Source organism: Homo sapiens, chromosome 2, assembly GCF_000001405.40.
Source record: "Homo sapiens chromosome 2, GRCh38.p14 Primary Assembly".
Lineage (NCBI taxonomy): Eukaryota > Metazoa > Chordata > Mammalia > Primates > Hominidae > Homo > Homo sapiens.
Window position 1 is genome coordinate 197,629,743 of NC_000002.12, and position 18,325 is coordinate 197,648,067.

Sequence of the window (18,325 nt, forward strand, 5' to 3'; positions counted from 1 at the left end):
GACAGTGTCTTACTCTGTCACCCAGGCTAGAATGTTGTGGTGCAATCATGGCTCACTGCAGCCTTGACCTCCCTGGGCTCAGGTGATCCTCCCACATCAGCCTCCTGGGTAGCTGGGAATACAGGTGGCTGCCACCATGCCTGACTAACGTTTGCATTTTTTGTAGAGATGAGGTTTCGCCATATTGCCCAGGCTAGTCTCGAACTCCTGGACTCAAGTGATCTGCCTGCCTTGGCCTCCCAAAGTGCTGGGATTACAGGTGTGAGCCACAGTGCCTGGCCTACTGAAAAATACTAAGAAATGTTTATTTAGCACCTGCTATGTGCTAAGCATTACGCAAGGTATTGTATTTCTGGGTGCTCCAATTCGTTTGGTCCTTAATACTGCTAGTTAAAAGGGCCTATTGGAACATGACTCCTGATAATTTAAAATATCATCCAAAGTCTGTAGTTGGATCAGTTAAGGTAATAAATACTAGGCTGATTTAACAATAGTAAGGTATAGGGAGATCTTATTTGCTTTTCATTCTTTCCTCTAACCTCATAGATTTAAGAGTTCCTAATTATCCTGGATTTCCTAAACTTCACCTTTCCTAATGCATTTTTCTAGTCTCATTACTACCTTTCCTTTTTCTTTTTTTAACCCTCATCTCTTAAAAAAACTTCCTAGAAAGTCATTTTTGATAATATTTTATAGTTTGTCTTTATTTTTGTGATAGACACAAATAATTACATACTCCACTGTAACTAAATGAGGAAGGCTAGAGAGGGATGAAAGACAAGGTGAAGACAGAAGTAAGAACAGAGCCAACGTCACTTTCTAAACCAAAGATGATTTTTCTGTACAAATTATAGAAAGAATCAGGTATAGACTGACTATATACATGGTAGATAGTGTTCAAAATTGGGATAATGTAATAAATATGAATAGTAAACACGAAATGCCATCATAAACCTCCCGTTTGGACTATTATAGTACATCTTATTTGGAAAATTCTCCTAGTCAATCACACAGTGGTTTCCCAATTACAACCCAACAGTGAACATTTTACGTTATATTTCTGCCCACACTCCTTAAGTGTCCATTGTGCTGAAGGAGCTTTAAGCTTTTAAATTAAAGCTACATATCTGTGTAACAGCTGGAATTTATTTCCTTAGGAATGGTATCTGTCCTTTCAGCCATAGAACTTGAGAGGTAAAAACATTTTCACTGATTTTGATACAAGTTCAAATTCCTCAGATATAAAATATCATTAACATAAAACTTACCTTTAGATGTTTCCCAGAATACAAAAGAATCAATTAAAGACAAGCCTTGTTTATAATAAAAGGTAGTTAACTCCAGCCAATCAGCATCAAGTGTACTAATGACTGATCCTTTTCTTGTTACTTTCATTGACAGGATGCCTTCCTGATAGGCCCAGGAGGTTGAATCATCATCAAAAGCATTGAAGACTGTATACAATTTGTTATCTGAGGCTAGGCATTCAGAAGGAGAAAAAAGGGGAAAATTATAATTTTGTTGATCAAAGATTCTTAATTTTTTCACTAATCATGAGATATTCCAAGCATACAAACAAGCACTCAGCTTAATCAAATGTCAATAATATGCTATATTTGTTTCAGACTATTTTTTCAAAGAAATGAGAAATGGATACGGTTGAGGCTACTATGTGGTATCCTCTAATTCTATTCTCCAGAAATAAGTACTATAATGAAGTTGGTGTTTATCATTCTCATGCAAGCTTTTAATCTTTTAATACACACTTATATAACCATAAATGATGTGTAACATTTTACAGTTTGAAAATTTTTTTAAAAATGGTATCCTACTGTAGATATGAATTGACCTTTTGTTCAACATGCCTTTGAAATGTAAATAACCATATAGATCTTATTCGTTTATTTTAACTGCTACATAGTATGCCAATGTTCTAGTCTCCTTTTGGTGGACATATGCAATATTTCCAATTTTTCTGTTATTACCAACTTTGTATCTCTTTGGACATGTGTGAGAGTGACCCTAGAACAGACATGGAAATGCTGGATCATATCTTCTGCTTTACTAGGAATTGGCAAATTCTTAACGTAGGGTCAGTGGATCCACACCTATGTTTGTGTTTTAGGAAGCTTAACATCACCGGTATGACAGACAAAAGTATCTGGATTCCATGGATTTCACCAGATACTCAAAGAGGTCTTTTGTGAATTATTGCTACCCCCATTCTCCCTCTTCTAATTAAAAACCACTGCTACAGAAAAGTTATTGAGAAGTACATACTTTAAAAATACTGAGAGAGAGGAATCTAAAGATTGATAGTTACATTAAGTACTATATTGGATTTAGAACTTAAAGGAATAGAAATAGACATCTGATTTGCTCAAAGTAAGGGTGGGAACTCACATGGAGTTTAAAGGTAGGAATGGGTGGAAGATAGTGAATAGCTCTCTGACCATAATTCTGATACCTCTTGTTCACTTTTACATTCTGATACGGTTTGGCTGTGTCCCCACCCAGATCTCATCTTGAATTGTAGTTCCCATAATCCCCACATGTTGTGGGAGGGATCAGATAGTGATAGTTGAATCATGGGAGCGGTTTCCCCCATCCTGTTCTAATAACAGTGAGTTAGTTCTCACAGGATCTGATGGTTTTATAAGGGGCCTCCCCCTTTGCTGGGCTTTCATTCTTCTCTCTCCTGCCACCATGTGAAGAAGGACATGTTTGCTTTCCCTTCTGCCATGATTGTCAGTTTCCTAAGGCCTCTCCAGCCATGCTGGACTGTGAGTCAATTAAATCTCTTTCCTTTATAAATTACCCAGTCTAGGGTATTTCTTTATTTGCAGCATGAGAACAGACTAATACACATTCCTATACTTTTTACATTGCAGAAAAATCAGGGACATTGTTAGCTAGGGAATGGGTGAGAAAAGAGGAGGGTGGTGGTGATGATGGTGGAGATGGGTGCGATCTAAGTTGGTAAATGCTCCCAGTTATTTCTTCAGGAGGTGGAGCTTATGTGGCTAAATGAATCTCTGCCATGTATAGGATGCTAAGCACATCAAAACATAACCCAGAAAGCCTGACACCAAGGCGTGCTCCTCCAGTGCCAACACTGATGGAAGGATCAGTTAATAGCAGTTAATATAGAGTTTATTCTGTACCAGGCACTGGGTCAAACACTTTGTAGACATTTCTTATTTACTTCTCACAACAACCCAATGAGGGAGTTCTTACTATTACCCCTTTTTATAAAGAAATTGAGGTATCTGATTCCAGAGCCCATGTTGTTAATGCTAAGGTATATGTAGCCTTTGCTTTTCTCTGATAGTGCTTTTTTAAAGCATGCCCACAAAGGTATCAGAAAACTTTGAATGGTCCCAAATGCATGAATAAAATACTCTCAGTTTCTTTGGAAGACTTGCTAGCTGGCACAGAAGAATACAACTGTTGTTCAAAGTTATTTTAGGATGCAGGCACTATTGTTATATTAATTGTTTCATTATGATGTGCCAGTTTCACATTCTAGTTGATGATCAAAGAAAGCCAATTAATTTCAAAGGTTAAAACCATCCATGAAATGGGAAAGGCCAAAATGAAAATTCTCACATGCTGTTTATTAGTACAAACATAAATCAGAACAGCTTTTTAGACCTAATAGACTCACTTATTTGGTACACATGTACAGCCTCCAATTTATGAGGGAGTTTTGGATGACTAAATAGAAACCAATCTTCAACACAAAGTTTCATTATGTGGATGGCATTTTATGTTCTGCCAGAGACAACTGTCTAAAAAACTGCCCTGCCTTATTGCTAGCTGTAATAACTTTTAAAAATCATGAGGTTTTTATTAGTTCATTTAGTCATTATAATCTTTAGCAATTTACTTTGACTCATATTTCTAAAAAAAACCTCAAAAACTTATTTTGCTTAAACTATAGTATATTCTCTTTCTACTAATCTTGTCTATTACCTTCTCCCTTTCTTGATTTAGAGGAAGTAGGGCTGCCATTTTGTTCCATTTGATACTGTCCACTTTCATGATGAAGTTCTTCCTCAATTCCGCTTTCAGATGACTGCCCACTTAACGTCCCTTCATTCCAACTTCTACAGTTTTCATCTGAACCGTGTCTCACATGTAGCATCGATTCTATATCTCCATCATGGTTGGTTCCATTGCAGAATTTAGATGGAGAATAATGCTGTGATATGAATCCAACAAATTTCATTCCTCTTTTAGCAGCGACATTAATCTGATATTTAAAAAGAGATGGCAGAACAAAATGTAAACTCTATTTTCATTGATTACTTTATCAATTAACCTTTAGGCTTATTGAGGAAATCCACTAGAAGATGGAGTAACTTGACCAGTGACAAGACTCATTCATAAACTAATGAATCACCTGTAAAATAGCACTGCCCCCAAGACCATGCCACATGATCATCATGACCTTCAAACAGAACCAAATATACTTTAGAAATTATGAAAACAGGAATTATTTTTCCCTGAAGGGCCACTGTTTGGGAAGAACTAATAATTCTGTAGCATGATTTTTGCAGACCGTTTAACAATGGTGTCTCCAGTTGGAGCAAAATTAAAACCTATTCCAAGAAATTCCTAAAAATAACATTACCAAATACATCTTCATTAATAAAGGTTTATTAAATTAAAAGCAAAATACATATAGTTTTGCTTGTTTGATGGTATCAAAGAAAAATGTTAAAAGACTGATTCTTGACGAATGTGTAGGTATAAAGCACAAGCCCAATTTATACCACTACTCTTACAAAGCTTTCTGATCGGCTTATGTCTTTATGGTATTGTCTCCTATGTGGGCCAAACACATAGGATTAGATTAAATCCTATCAGTTAAAGAATAGGATTCTGAAGCACATGATATAATATCAGTGAAATAATTTTTGGGAACTTAAGAATGCTTATTTTTTATTTTTTATTTTTTTTTTATTTTTAAGGATTATTTATTTATTTATTTATTTATTTTTATTATACTTTAAGTTTTAGGGTACATGTGCACATTGTGCAGGTTAGTTACATATGTATACATGTGACATGCTGGTGCGCTGCACCCCCTAACTTGTCATCTAGCATTAGGTATATCTCCCAATGCTATAGCTCCCCCCTCCCCCCACCCCACAACAGTCCCCAGAGTGTGATATTCCCCTTCCTGTGTCCATGTGATCTCATTGTTCAATTCCCACCTATGAGTGAGAATATGCGGTGTTTCGTTTTTTGTTCTTGCGATAGTTTACTAAGAATGATGATTTCCAATTTCATCCATGTCCCTACAAAGGACATGAACTCATCATTTTTTATGGCTGCATAGTATTCCATGGTGTATATGTGCCACATTTTCTTAATCCAGTCTATGATTGTTGGACATTTGGGTTGGTTCCAAGTCTTTGCTATTGTGAATAATGCCGCAATAAACATACTTGTGCATGTGTCTTTATAGCAGCATGATTTATAGTCCTTTGGGTATATACCCAGTAATGGGATGGCTGGGTCAAATGGTATTTCTAGTTCTAGATCCCTGAGGAGTCACCACACTGACTTCCACAACGGTTGAACTAGTTTACAGTCCCACCAACAGTGTAAAAGTGTTCCTATTTCTCCACATCCTCTCCAGCATCTGTTGTTTCCTGACTTTTTAATGATCACCATTCTAACTGGTGTGAGATGGTATCTCATTGTGGTTTTGATTTGCATTTCTCTGATGGCCAGTGATGATGAGCATTTTTTCATGTATTTTTTGGCTGCATAAATGTCTTCTTTTGAGAAGTGTCTGTTCATGTCCTTCGCCCACTTTTTGATGGGGTTGTTTGTTTTTTTCTTGTAAATTTGTTTGAGTTCATTGTAGATTCTGGATATTAGCCCTTTGTCAGATGAGTAGGTTGTGAAAATTTTCTCCCATTTTGTAGGTTGCTTGTTCACTCTGATGGTAGTTTCTTTTGCTGTGCAGAAGCTCTTTAGTTTAATTAGATCCCATTTGTCAATTTTGTCTTTTGTTGCCATTGCTTTTGGTGTTTTAGACATGAAGTCCTTGCCCATGCCTATGTCCTGAATGGTAATGCCTAGGTTTTCTTCTAGGGTTTTTATGGTTTTAGGTCTAATGTTTAAGTCTTTAATCCATCTTGAATTGATTTTTGTATAAGGTGTAAGGAAGGGATCCAGTTTCAGCTTTCTACATATGGCTAGCCAGTTTTCCCAGCACCATTTATTAAATAGGGAATCCTTTCCCCATTGCTTGTTTTTCTCAGGTTTGTCAAAGATCAGATAGTTGTAGATATGCGGCGTTATTTCTGAGGGCTCTGTTCTGTTCCATTGATCTATATCTCTTGTTTTGGTACCAGTACCATGCTGTTTTGGTTACTGTAGCCTTGTAGTATAGTTTGAAGTCAGGTAGTGTGATGCCTCCAGCTTTGTTCTTTTGGCTTAGGATTGCCTTGGCGACGCGGGCTCTTTTTTGGTTCCATATGAACTTTAAAGTAGTTTTTTCCAATTCTGTGAAGAAAGGCATTGGTAGCTTTATGGGGATGGCATTGAATCTGTAAATTACCTTGGGCAGTATGGCCATTTTCACGATATTGATTCTTCCTACCCATGAGCATGGAATGTTCTTCCATTTGTTTGTATACTCTTTTATTTCCTTGAGCAGTGGTTTGTAGTTCTCCTTGAAGAGGTCCTTCACATCCCTTGTAAGTTGGATTCCTAGGTATTTTATTCTCTTTGAAGCAATTGTGAATGGGAGTTCACTCATGATTTGGCTCTCTGTTTGTCTGTTGTTGGTGTATAAGAATGCTTGTGATTTTTGTACATTGATTTTGTATCCTGAGACTTTGCTGAAGTTGCTTATCAGCTTAAGGAGATTTTGGGCTGAGACAATGGGGTTTTCTAGATATACAATCATGTCGTCTGCAAACAGGGACAATTTGACTTCCTTTTTTCCTAATTGAATACCCTTTATTTCCTTCTCCTGCCTAATTGCCCTGGCCAGAACTTCCAACACTATGTTGAATAGGAGCGGTGAGAGAGGGCATCCCTGTCTTGTGCCAGTTTTCAAAGGGAATGCTTCCAGTTTTTGCCCATTTAGTATGATATTGGCTGTGGGTTTGTCATAGATAGCTCTTATTATTTTGAAATACGTCCCATCAATACCTAATTTATTGAGAGTTTTTAGCATGAAGTGTTGTTAAATTTTGTCAAAGGCCTTTTCTGCATCTATTGAGATAATCATGTGGTTTTTGTCTTTGGCTCTGTTTATATGCTGGATTACATTTATTGATTTGTGTATATTGAACCAGCCTTGCATCCCAGGGATGAAGCCCACTTGATCATGGTGGATAAGCTTTTTGATGTGCTGCTGGATTCGTTTTGCCAGTATTTTATTGAGGATTTTTGCATCAATGTTCATCAAGGATATTGGTCTAAAATTCTCTTTTTTGGTTGTGTCTCTGCCCGGCTTTGGTATCAGAATGATGCTAGCCTCATAAAATGAGTTAGGGAGGATTCCCTCTTTTTCTATTGATTGGAATAGTTTCAGAAGGAATGGTACCAGTTGTTCCTTGTACCTCTGGTAGAATTCGGCTGTGAATCCATCTGGTCCTGGACTCTTTTTGGTTGGTAAGCTATTGATTATTGCCACAATTTCAGCTCCTGTTATTGGTCTATTCAGAGATTCAACTTCTTCCTGGTTTAGTCTTGGGAGAGTGTATGTGTTGAGGAATTTATCCATTTCCTCTAGATTTTCTAGTTTATTTGCATAGAGGTGTTTGTAGTATTCTCTGATGGTAGTTTGTATTTCTGTGGGATTGGTGGTGATATCCCCTTTATCATTTTTTATTGTGTCTATTTGATTCTTCTCTCTTTTTCTTTATTAGTCTTGCTAGCGGTCTATCAATTTTGTTGATCCTTTCAAAAAACCAGCTCCTGGATTCATTAATTTTTTGAAGGGTTTTTTGTGTCTCTATTTCCTTCAGTTCTGCTCTGATTTTAGTTATTTCTTGCCTTCTGCTAGCTTTTGAATGTGTTTGCTCTTGCTTTTCTAGTTCTTTTAATTGTGATGTTAGGGTGTCAATTTTGTATCTTTCCTGCTTTCTCTTGTGGGCATTTAGTGCTGTAAATTTCCCTCTACACACTGCTTTGAATGCATCCCAGAGATTCTGGTATGTTGTGTCTTTGTTCTCGTTGGTTTCAAAGAACATCTTTATTTCTGCCTCCATTTCGTTATGTATCCAGTAGTCATTCAGGAGCAGGTTGTTCAGTTTCCATGTAGTTGAGCGGCTTTGAGTGAAATTCTTAATTCTGAGTTCTACTTTGTTTGCACTGTGGTCTGAGAGATAGTTTGTTATAATTTCTGTTCTTTTACATTTGCTGAGGAGAGCTTTACTTCCAACTATGTGGTCAATTTTGGAATAGGTGTGGTGTGGTGCTGAAAAAAATGTATATTCTGTTGATTTGGGGTGGAGAGTTCTGTAGATGTCTATTAGATCCGCTTGGTGCAGAGCTGAGTTCAATTCCTGGGTATCCTTGTTGACTTTCTGTCTCGTTGATCTGTCTAATGTTGACAGTGGGGTGTTAAAGTCTCCCATTATTATTGTGTGGGAGTCTAAGTCTCTTTGTAGGTCACTCAGGACTTGCTTTATGAATCTGGGTGCTCCTGTATTGGGTGCATATATATTTAGGATAGTTAGCTCTTCTTGTTGAATTGATCCCTTTACCATTATGTAATGGCCTTCTTTGTCTCTTTTGATCTTTGTTGGTTTAAAGTCTGTTTTATCAGAGACTAGGATTGCAACCCTTGCCTTTTTTTGTTTTCCATTTGCTTGGTAGATCTTCCTCCATCCTTTTATTTTGAGCCTATGTGTGTTTCTGCACGTGAGATGTGTTTCCTGAATACAGCACACTGATGGGTCTTGACTCTTTATCCAATTTGCCAGTCTGTGTCTTTTAATTGGAGCATTTAGTCCATTTACATTTAAAGTTAATATTGTTATGTGTGAATTTGATCCTGTCATTATGATGTTAGCTGGTTATTTTGCTCGTTAGTTGATGCAGTTTCTTCCTAGTCTCGATGGTCTTTACATTTTGGCATGATTTTGCAGCGGCTGGTACCGGTTGTTCCTTTCCATGTTTAGTGCTTCCTTCAGGAGCTCTTTTTGGGCAGGCCTGGTCATGACAAAATCTGTCAACATTTGCTTGTCTGTAAAGTATTTTATTTCTCCTTCACTTATGAAGCTTAGTTTGGCTGGATATGAAATTCTGGGTTGAAAATTCTTTTCTTTAAGAATGTTGAATATTGGCCCCCACTCTCTTCTGGCTTGTAGGGTTTCTGCCGAGAGATCCGCTGTTAGTCTGATGGGCTTCCCTTTGAGGGTAACCTGACCTTTCTCTCTGGCTGCCCTTAACATTTTTTCCTTCATTTCAACTTTGGTGAATCTGACAATTATGTGTCTTGGAGTTGCTCTTCTCGAGGAGTATCTTTGTGGCGTTCTCTGTATTTCCTGAATCTGAACGTTGGCCTGCCTTGCTAGATTGGGGAAGTTCTCCTGGATAATATCCTGCAGAGTGTTTTCCAACTTGGTTCCATTCTCCGCATCACTTTCAGGTACACCAGCCAGACGTAGATTTGGTCTTTTCACATAGTCCCATATTTCTTGGAGGCTTTGCTCATTTCTTTTTATTCTTTTTTCTCTAAACTTCCCTTCTCACTTCATTTCATTCATTTCATCTTCCATTGCTGATACCCTTTCTTCCAGTTGATCGCATTGGCTCCTGAGGCTTCTGCATTCTTCACGTAGTTCTCGAGCCTTGGTTTTCAGCTCCATCAGCTCCTTTAAGCACTTCTCTGTATTGGTTATTCTAGTTATACATTCTTCTAAATTTTTTTCAAAGTTTTCAACTTCTTTGCCTTTGGTTTGAATGTCCTCCCGTAGCTCAGAGTAATTTGATCGTCTGAAGCCTTCTTCTCTCAGCTCGTCAAAGTCATTCTCCATCCAGCTTTGTTCTGTTGCTGGTGAGGAACTGCGTTCCTTTGGAGGAGGAGAGGCGCTCTGCGTTTTAGAGTTTCCAGTTTTTCTGTTCTGTTTTTTCCCCATCTTTGTGGTTTTATCTACTTTTGGTCTTTGATGATGGTGATGTACAGATGGGTTTTTGGTGTGGATGTCCTTTCTGTTTGTTAGTTTTCCTTCTAACAGACAGGACCCTCAGATGCAGGTCTGTTGGAATACCCTGCCGTGTGAGATGTCAGTGTGCCCCTGCTGGGGGTGCCTCCCAGTTAGGCTGCTCAGGGGTCAGGGGTCAGGGACCCACTTGAGGAGGGAGTCTGCCCGTTCTCAGATCTCCAGCTGCGTGCTGGGAGAACCACTGCTCTCTTCAAAGCTGTCAGACAAGGACATTTAAGTCTGCAGAGGTTACTGCTGTCTTTTTGTCTGTGCCCTGCCCCCAGAGGTGGAGCCTACAGAGGCAGGCAGGCCTCCTTGAGCTGTGGTGGGCTCCACCCAGTTGGAGCTTCCTGGCTGCTTTGTTTACCTAAGGAAGCCTGGGCAATGGCGGGCGCCCCTCCCCCAGCCTCACTGCCGCCTTGCAGTTTGATCTCAGACTGCTGTGCTAGCAATCAGCGAGACTCCGTGGGCGTAGGACCCTCCGAGCCAGGTGCCGGATATAATCTCGTGGTGCGCCGTTTTTTAAGCCGGTCCGAAAAGCGCAATATTCGGGTGGGAGTGACCCGATTTTCCAGGTGAGTCCGTCACCCCTTTCTTTGACTCGGAAAGGGAACTCCCTGACCCCTTGCGCTTCCCAAGTGAGGCAATGCCTCGCCCTGCTTCGGCTCGCGCACGGTGCGCGCACCCACTGACCTGCGCCCACTGTCTGGCACTCCCTAGTGAGATGAACCCGGTACCTCAGATGGAAATGCAGAAATCACCCGTCTTCTGCGTCGCTCACGCCGGGAGCTGTAGACCGGAGCTGTTCCTATTCGGCCATCTTGGCTCCTCCCCCAGGAATGCTTATTTTTACACTCAGCACTTTTCCCATTGACATATCGGTAAGAGTTAGCTTTTGTTGAAATGTAACAGCCAAAAACCTAAGGCCTGTTCCTCTCTGCTTTTACTTCGTTTCTTTGTTCTATTTTCTTCATGTGTTCAACTGGCAGCTCCTTTGAAGGCTGACGTAGGGGACTGTGTCTTATCCTTCTTTGTATTGCAGTGTTTTCTACTCATAGGTGCTCTATAAGTACTTGTTAAATTAGTTAAATGAAGAAATAGCAATGTCTTTTATATGGCTACTGTTTTAAACATTTAAATTAAATGTTGTAAATGTTACCTGGGAGGAGAAGAAAGAAAAAGAATTATGATGGAGGTTGCAAATGCAAACATTTAGAGTCAGAATGAAATGGAGTGAGAAAAGCCAGGAAGAACTGGGGCAGAACAGAGAGCAATGCCCAGTCAATGGGGGCAACTTAATTCACTCAGCTCCAGCTTGTGAGGCAGGAGAATTCTGAGAGCGGGGAGAGAGTGTGGGTGTGTGGAGCTAGGACAAGGGACTGGAGCTGGTGAAACAGCATTTGTTCCTATGAATTAACATATTGAGATTGTAACCATTTAAAACAACCACAAATTTTCCTTTATATCAGTTGTCCTGGGAGAGAAGAAGAGGGAGGGATAGAGATATGGCATATTCTGCAGGTAGAAATGGGTGCATTTACCGTCAGTGCTTCCTCTAGGTCTTGTTAGTTGATTTGAGTGAAAAGATGCAGAAAAACTTTTTTCTATTACTAGGAACTTTTATCTGGAAAGGACTGGTAACAAATAAAGTATTAATTTTTTTTCCATTTTTAAGTTGGAGGATTGATATTTTTAAAATGTTATTTTTAGTTTAAAATTCTGAGAAAAATACTTACAAACTGAATTTTAAAATTAGAGTGAACACTGGTATAATGTTAGAACTTGACTTAAAAGTTAGCTGTTCAACAACCAACTCTTTACACAAGGCAGCCGCTCAAAAATAATATTTGGCAATTCATCTATGGCTCTTGTTCATACCCGGAGCAATGCTCAAATATTTCATGTGCTATGTTTCCTGAAGCTTTTCTCTTAATGAAATAACCCTGTTGCTCTAATTGCTGAAATAACAGTACTTTCCTGTTTAAATAGATCTTTAACTGTGTCCAGGAAGTCAAATGCAAAACAAGGGCTCTGACGGTAATCTATTAAGACTAAATTAGTAGCTACATTTTTGTTTTCAAATGAAATTTGCTGGAGTGGATTTATTACCAGAAAAAAAATTTCCCAGAATAGTGCTAATAAACAATATGCGTAGTTTGTTTATAAAATTTAGTCTCAAAGACTAAAAACCCTTATTGAATAGTGACTTTGTGCCTAAATGGGAAATAATCATTAGCAACTATAACTGACTATCCCCAAACCACAGATAATCTTACATACATAGTATTTAACGCTTGGAAACAACTAGAGAAACAAGTGAACACATTTCAGTTTCTTACCTGAAAGGAAATGCTTTAGATTTTAGCTGTATGTATTTAAATAAAAAGTAAAACCTTATAAATATGTCAATGCAGTGGAAAAGAAACACCTTTCACCATAAAATCCCATCAATTTAGAATATTTATGAATGTACAACTTTTTTGTTTTAATCAATACATATACAACATTTAACTTTTCATTTAAGTTTCAATTAAGTTATATTGTATAGACTTTTCTCTCTTGACAGTCAATATAGTTGTCATGTTTAATGCCTATAAAATATTCTATTATATTAATCCATCATTGTCTTTTTCAAAGTCTTCCAGTTATTGAGAATTTGGACCCTTATTCACTGTTGGTTAAATATCTTTGTATAAAAATTATTTCTTCCCCTTTTCAATTATTTTCTTAAAATCAATTCCTAAGGAGGGGATTAAAAAATAAAATGGGATTTATGGCCAGGCATGGTGGCTCACACCTGTGATCCCAGCACTTTGGGAGGCCATGGCAGTAGGATCGATTGAGCCCAGGAATTTAAGACTAGCCTGGGCAATACAGACTCCTGTCTTTACAAAATAAAAAAATTGGCTGGGCGTGGTGTCCCATGCCTACAATCCCAGCTACCAGGGTGGCTAAGGCAGGAGAATTGCTTGAGTTCAAGAGTTCGAGACTGCAGCGAGCTATGATTGTGCCACTATACTCCAGCCTATTTTCTTTAACAACAACAACAAAAAAAGACAAAATGGGATTTATGATTCTTCTTACTAAATAGATATTCAGGAATACTGCATTAATTACAATGCCAGTTGTATTATGAATGTTAGCTTTTCTTTGTTTTTATTATTGTTATTATTATTAGAGATAGAGTCTTGCTCTGTCACCCAGGCTGGAGTGTAGTGGCTTGATCACAGCTCACTGCAGGCTCACTTCTAGGCTCAGGTGATCCTCCTGTCTTACCCTCCTGAGTACATGGTACTACAGGCATGTGCCACCACGTCCTGCTGATTTTTTTTTCTTTCAGGTTTTGTAGAGTTGGGGGTCTTGCTATGTTGCTTAGGCTGGTCTTGGAACTCCTGGCCTCAAGTGATCCTCCTGCCTCGGCCTCCAAAAGTGTTGGGATTACAGGTGTGAGCCACCACACCTGGCCTTAACTTGTCTTAAAGCTTTGCTAATACTGGATTTTAATTAAATTTCCTGGTTTAATACTGGTGAGGTATTAGTTCTCAGTTTTTATTTACATTAAACATTATTAGGTTGAACCTGTTACCAACTGTCTCCTAATTATTGACGTTTCTTTCTTTTATATTTGCTGTCCATTGTCTCTCTCTGTCCATTTAAGACGGCATATTACTTTCATGAATTTGTATTCCTTTCCTGTAATGTATATTTTGAAAACGAACCTCCTATAGGACATGTCTGTTGCAGATTTCTCTTTGATTCTTCTTTTTTAAGCTTAGTTTTCCTAGTACAGTTAAGTTATATTTATATACTCAAACTCCTTAATCTATTCATTGACTATATTTACTCTTCCATTTTCTTTTGTTTTTTTATATTAAAAAATTACCTCTTTATCTCATCTGAAATGTGGAATTTATTCTCTGCAGAACAATTGCCTACTTTCCCAACAGCATTCATTAAATAATGGTTGTTCCTCCATTTTATTTCATCAGGTTTGTCATTAAACTTCTTATATTTGTTTAAATTTAGTTCTGGTTGTCCATTTTGTTTCACTGGCTTGTATTTCTGTTTTAAACGCTTTACCATTTGGCACAAGTACTTCGATATGTTTTAAATTCTGGTAGAAAAGTTACCTGTCATTTCCTTATTCTTTTTAGGGTAAAAAAGGGAATTGATGAAGATGAAATACCAAATGTTTGTCAATATCCCATGAAAAAGTGCATAAATTTAGTACCTTTTCTATCAGTTCTTTTGCTGCGTCATTTGTTTGTGCCTCAGAAGTTAGGGGACATTCCTCAATCACGAGCCTTGGGCGTCTTTGTCCACTGGGTGCTGCCGAATTCTTTGGGCTGTAACAGAGGGAATATGTTTATGGTTGGAGGCCAATTGCTGCTTTTCAGCTAATATGCTCATGTGAAAATGAGTGAGCAACTCACAAACAGGGTCAAGGTAATCATTTTTTATTATTTCAAACCTGATGGCTATCTTCTTATATAAAAATACCAGAAAAGCACAATAACTTCTATTAATTCAAATTTCCTTAATTTAAACTGCTATTAATTTAATTTGTCAGTTAGAAAGAAAGAAAAGCTTCATGTCTGTAGTTTTAATAAACTTATAAGAAATAATTTTAGATTGTTGTTATATCTTATCGAACAAAAGCAGAAGTAAAAATTCCATTTAAATGCAAATAAATATTGCCCTTTTCCCTTTTTCTTCTTTTCTGATCTTTTTTCTTTGCTTATTCTTCGGCTTGCCAGGGTACTGCTAAATCTGTCTGAAGTAATCCTAAAAGCAGAAAAGATAATTCACACATGGTTGATAAGATTTGTAATTAGGACATAAGCAATCCTACTATGCAAAAATGTCATGTTTGCTTAGTAATGCTTAAACTAGTAAATATCTGATGAGGCTTCATATTCTAGTGAAAGCTGAAGCCTGTACACACCCTGCCAGACATGTTAAAGTAGGCAATTACTCCATGGGAGATAGTGTTTCTTAAAATCACACCTGGAATTTTTTTAAGTCTCTTTCTTGTTTTTTGAAATTTTCCTATTTTCTTAGTTTTCCTCTACTTTCATTTTTCCTTCTCTGCTTAGCCCTCTCTTAAAGTGATTGTTGTTGATCCATCACTGTAAAGAGAAAATGCAGTTTTTTCCCTGGTCTTTAGGATGGTTTTGATATACAGTCATGCACTGCATAATGATGTTTCTGTCAACAATGGACTGCATATACAGCGGTGGTCCCGTAAGATTATAGAGTAACGTATTTTTACTGTACCTTTTCCATCTTTAGGTATGTTTAGCTACACAAATACTTATTATTGTGATACCATTGCCTACAGTATTCAGTCGGTAACAGACTGTACAGGTTTGGAGTCTCAGAGCAATGGGCTATACCATATAGCCTAGGTGTATAGTAGGCTATACCATCTAGGTTTGTGTAAGTACACTCTATGATGTTCACACAATGACAAAGCAGCCTAAGGACACACTTCTTAGAATGCATCCCTGTCATTAAGCAACATATTAATTAAAGGGTTGTGTAAAAAAATTTAATGTGTTAATCTAAGATATTTGTCTGGTTATTTTTATTCTTAATTGGAAAGAACAACAGTATTTTACCATGAAAACTATCAAATTTACAATCTAGGCTGGCAAAAATGGTTGCAGTATTGTTTGGAAAAGTAGCTATTAAAATAAAAAACACTACAATGGTTAGCTTTTAAATTAGATTTTGGAAAAAGGTTAACAAGAGGTCTATCTAATTTGTTAGAACTTGTCATAGTAGGTCTTTCTGTCGTTAAAAGTTTTAGAATGGGCTGGGTGCAGTGGCTCATGCCTGTAACCCCAGTACTTTGGGAGGCCAAGGTGGGTGGATCACCTGCGGTCAGGAGTTCGAGACCAGCCTGGTCAACATGGTGAAACCCCATCTGTACTAAAAATACAAAAAATTAGCTGGCTGTGGTGGCAGGAGCCTGTAATCCCAGCTACTTGGGAGGCTGAGGCAGAAGAATCGCTTGAACCCGGGAGGCAGAGGTTACAGTGAGCTGAGTTGGTGCCATTGCACTCCAGCTTGGGCAACCAGAGCAAAACTCTGTCTTGAAAAAAAAAAAGTTTTAGAATGTAGAGATAGTTTCTGTTGCCACTATTAATAAAACAATGTAGGACAGTCAGAAAGCTCAGTGAAAGTGGACTTGGTAGGTCTGGTCAGCTCTTTAGCCTAGTGATAGTATCTGTAGCTCACTGCTTCTCCTGCATCTGCTGAAGTGGCTACAGGAGCTTCTAGGTGCCTCTGGAATCTATTTTGCTTTCCCTTTGTTCACTGACATCCTCACTTAGGACACATTTGTCTGCAAGAAGCAAAAATCAATCAGGAGTTTTAAGGAAGGAGGTGTAACATTTCCTTGCTTCAATCCAGGTTCCACTGCTGGAAAATGTGCTTTAAACTAAAACCCCCATGTGTCCTTTATTCTCTGCCACTTGATTCAAATTTTTTTTTCTTTTAGACAAAGAGAACTGTCACCCTCACCTGCCTCTTTCTTGAATAGTGTGCTTACCTTAATTTCAAGCGCAATAGCACCACTCTGTATAGGTAACTTGCAGGTAGGTGTTTTCGCTGCCCCACAGGTTGTATAACAGGATGAATAGCCCCGACAATATATCCTTTAAGATAATAGTTTTCCACTTTTGTTACTATATCCAGAATTGAATTTATCTTGATGACTTCTGGGTTTGATGAAGCTGAAATATCAAAAGCAAAGAGAAATTTGCATATTCTTAAGATTGAATTATACATTATTTCTACCTATGGGTGATAATACTAATGAATAGGAAAAGATCTTGGCCGGGTGCAATGGCACATGCGTGTAATCCCAGCACTTTGGAAGGCTGAGGCAGGGGGATTGTTTGAGCCCAGGAGTTTGAGACCAGCCTGGGCAACATAACAGGAACATAGTAGGACATTGTCTCTACAAAAAAAAAAAAAAAAAAAAAAACTCCAATGGCTTAATCTCAGATAAAGTTACATTAACATGTATTTATACATTTTTAAAGTCATTTCAGAAAAAAGGAAAAGTGACCTTACAAATTAGTAGATACATAATATCACCCATATGTCTAAAGCAGAAATACAATGTCTTATGAGTTTTTTCAATTAGGTCAGTTTCATTTTTTAGGATTTCATTTGAGTGACTATATTTCCATTAATAGATATTGAAGACATACATAGGAGATACAATAATTTGAAGAGCCAGTCATTTTTATGACTAAACAAGATGAGATGCATAATTTCTTTTCTTTTCTTTTTTTCTTTTTTGAGAGAGGGTCTCACTCTGTCCCCCAGGCTGGAGTGCAGTGGCACAATCGTGGCTCTCTGTAGCCCCCACCTCCCGGGCTCACACAATCCTTCCACGTAGCTGGGACTATAGGTGCATGCCACCACACCCGGCTGAGTTTTGTATTTTTTGTAGAGGCGAGGTTTTGCCATGTTGCCCAGGCTGATCTCAAACTCCTGAGCTCAAGCAAGCCTGCTGCCTTGGCTTCCCAAAGTGTTGGGATTATAGGTGTGAGCCAGCGCTCCCAGCCGAGATGCATAATTTCTTAAAAATAAAATTCATACCAATCTAATAACTAAAAATGGGAGAAATGGCATTTATTAGGCAGCACTTGTCAAGGCTTTCTTATTTCTAATTACTCTTTCAAAGCACTGTGTTTTAAGTTTATCTGGGAAGCTAAACATATAATTTCTCATGGTGCTTATGTAAATGCTTGAGTAAAGGTGAATGAAAAAGTACAGATATCCAGTAGTCTCTTTAATAAATAAAAATTCTAAACGTAGTGGAAATTTAAATGCAAAATTGATTTGCAATTAAACCATTCCTTGAAGGATAGCAAATCTGTAGAAACTATAGAATAGCACTATCTGTACAGACTTTAGAGTAGTAAAAGGAAAAGAGTGTGTTATTTGAGAAAATGTTCTTAATGATCCAGCAGTATTAATTTAAATAACAACTTTATTTGCTACAACAATATTTCTCATTGTATGAAAAACAATCAAGAAGTAATACCTAGAAATAGACCTGCATTTTGATTATCTCTTAAGTAACAAGACATATGAAATTAATTCCAGATATGAGCCTAGTT

The 18,325-nt window shown here is 37.8% G+C and overlaps 1 protein-coding gene across 6 annotated transcripts in view; it reads right to left on the reverse strand.

The window, feature by feature from the left end:
* RFTN2 (raftlin family member 2) overlaps positions 1-18,325 on the reverse strand; it is a 107,364-nt gene that overhangs the window by 61,519 nt on the left and 27,520 nt on the right. For 4 of the 6 annotated variants that reach the window (XM_011510597.4, NM_144629.3, XM_011510596.4 and 1 more), the window contains exons 2-5: positions 16,741-16,924; positions 14,416-14,530; positions 3,976-4,255; positions 1,269-1,478 (exon numbers count right to left, since the gene is read on the reverse strand). In XM_011510597.4, coding sequence (XP_011508899.1) covers positions 1,269-1,478; positions 3,976-4,255; positions 14,416-14,530; positions 16,741-16,924 — 789 coding nt within the window. The remainder of the gene's footprint in view (positions 1-1,268; positions 1,479-3,975; positions 4,256-14,415; positions 14,531-16,740; positions 16,925-18,325) is intronic. The other 2 variants (XM_017003332.3, XM_011510598.4) reach the window with 1 other exon arrangement.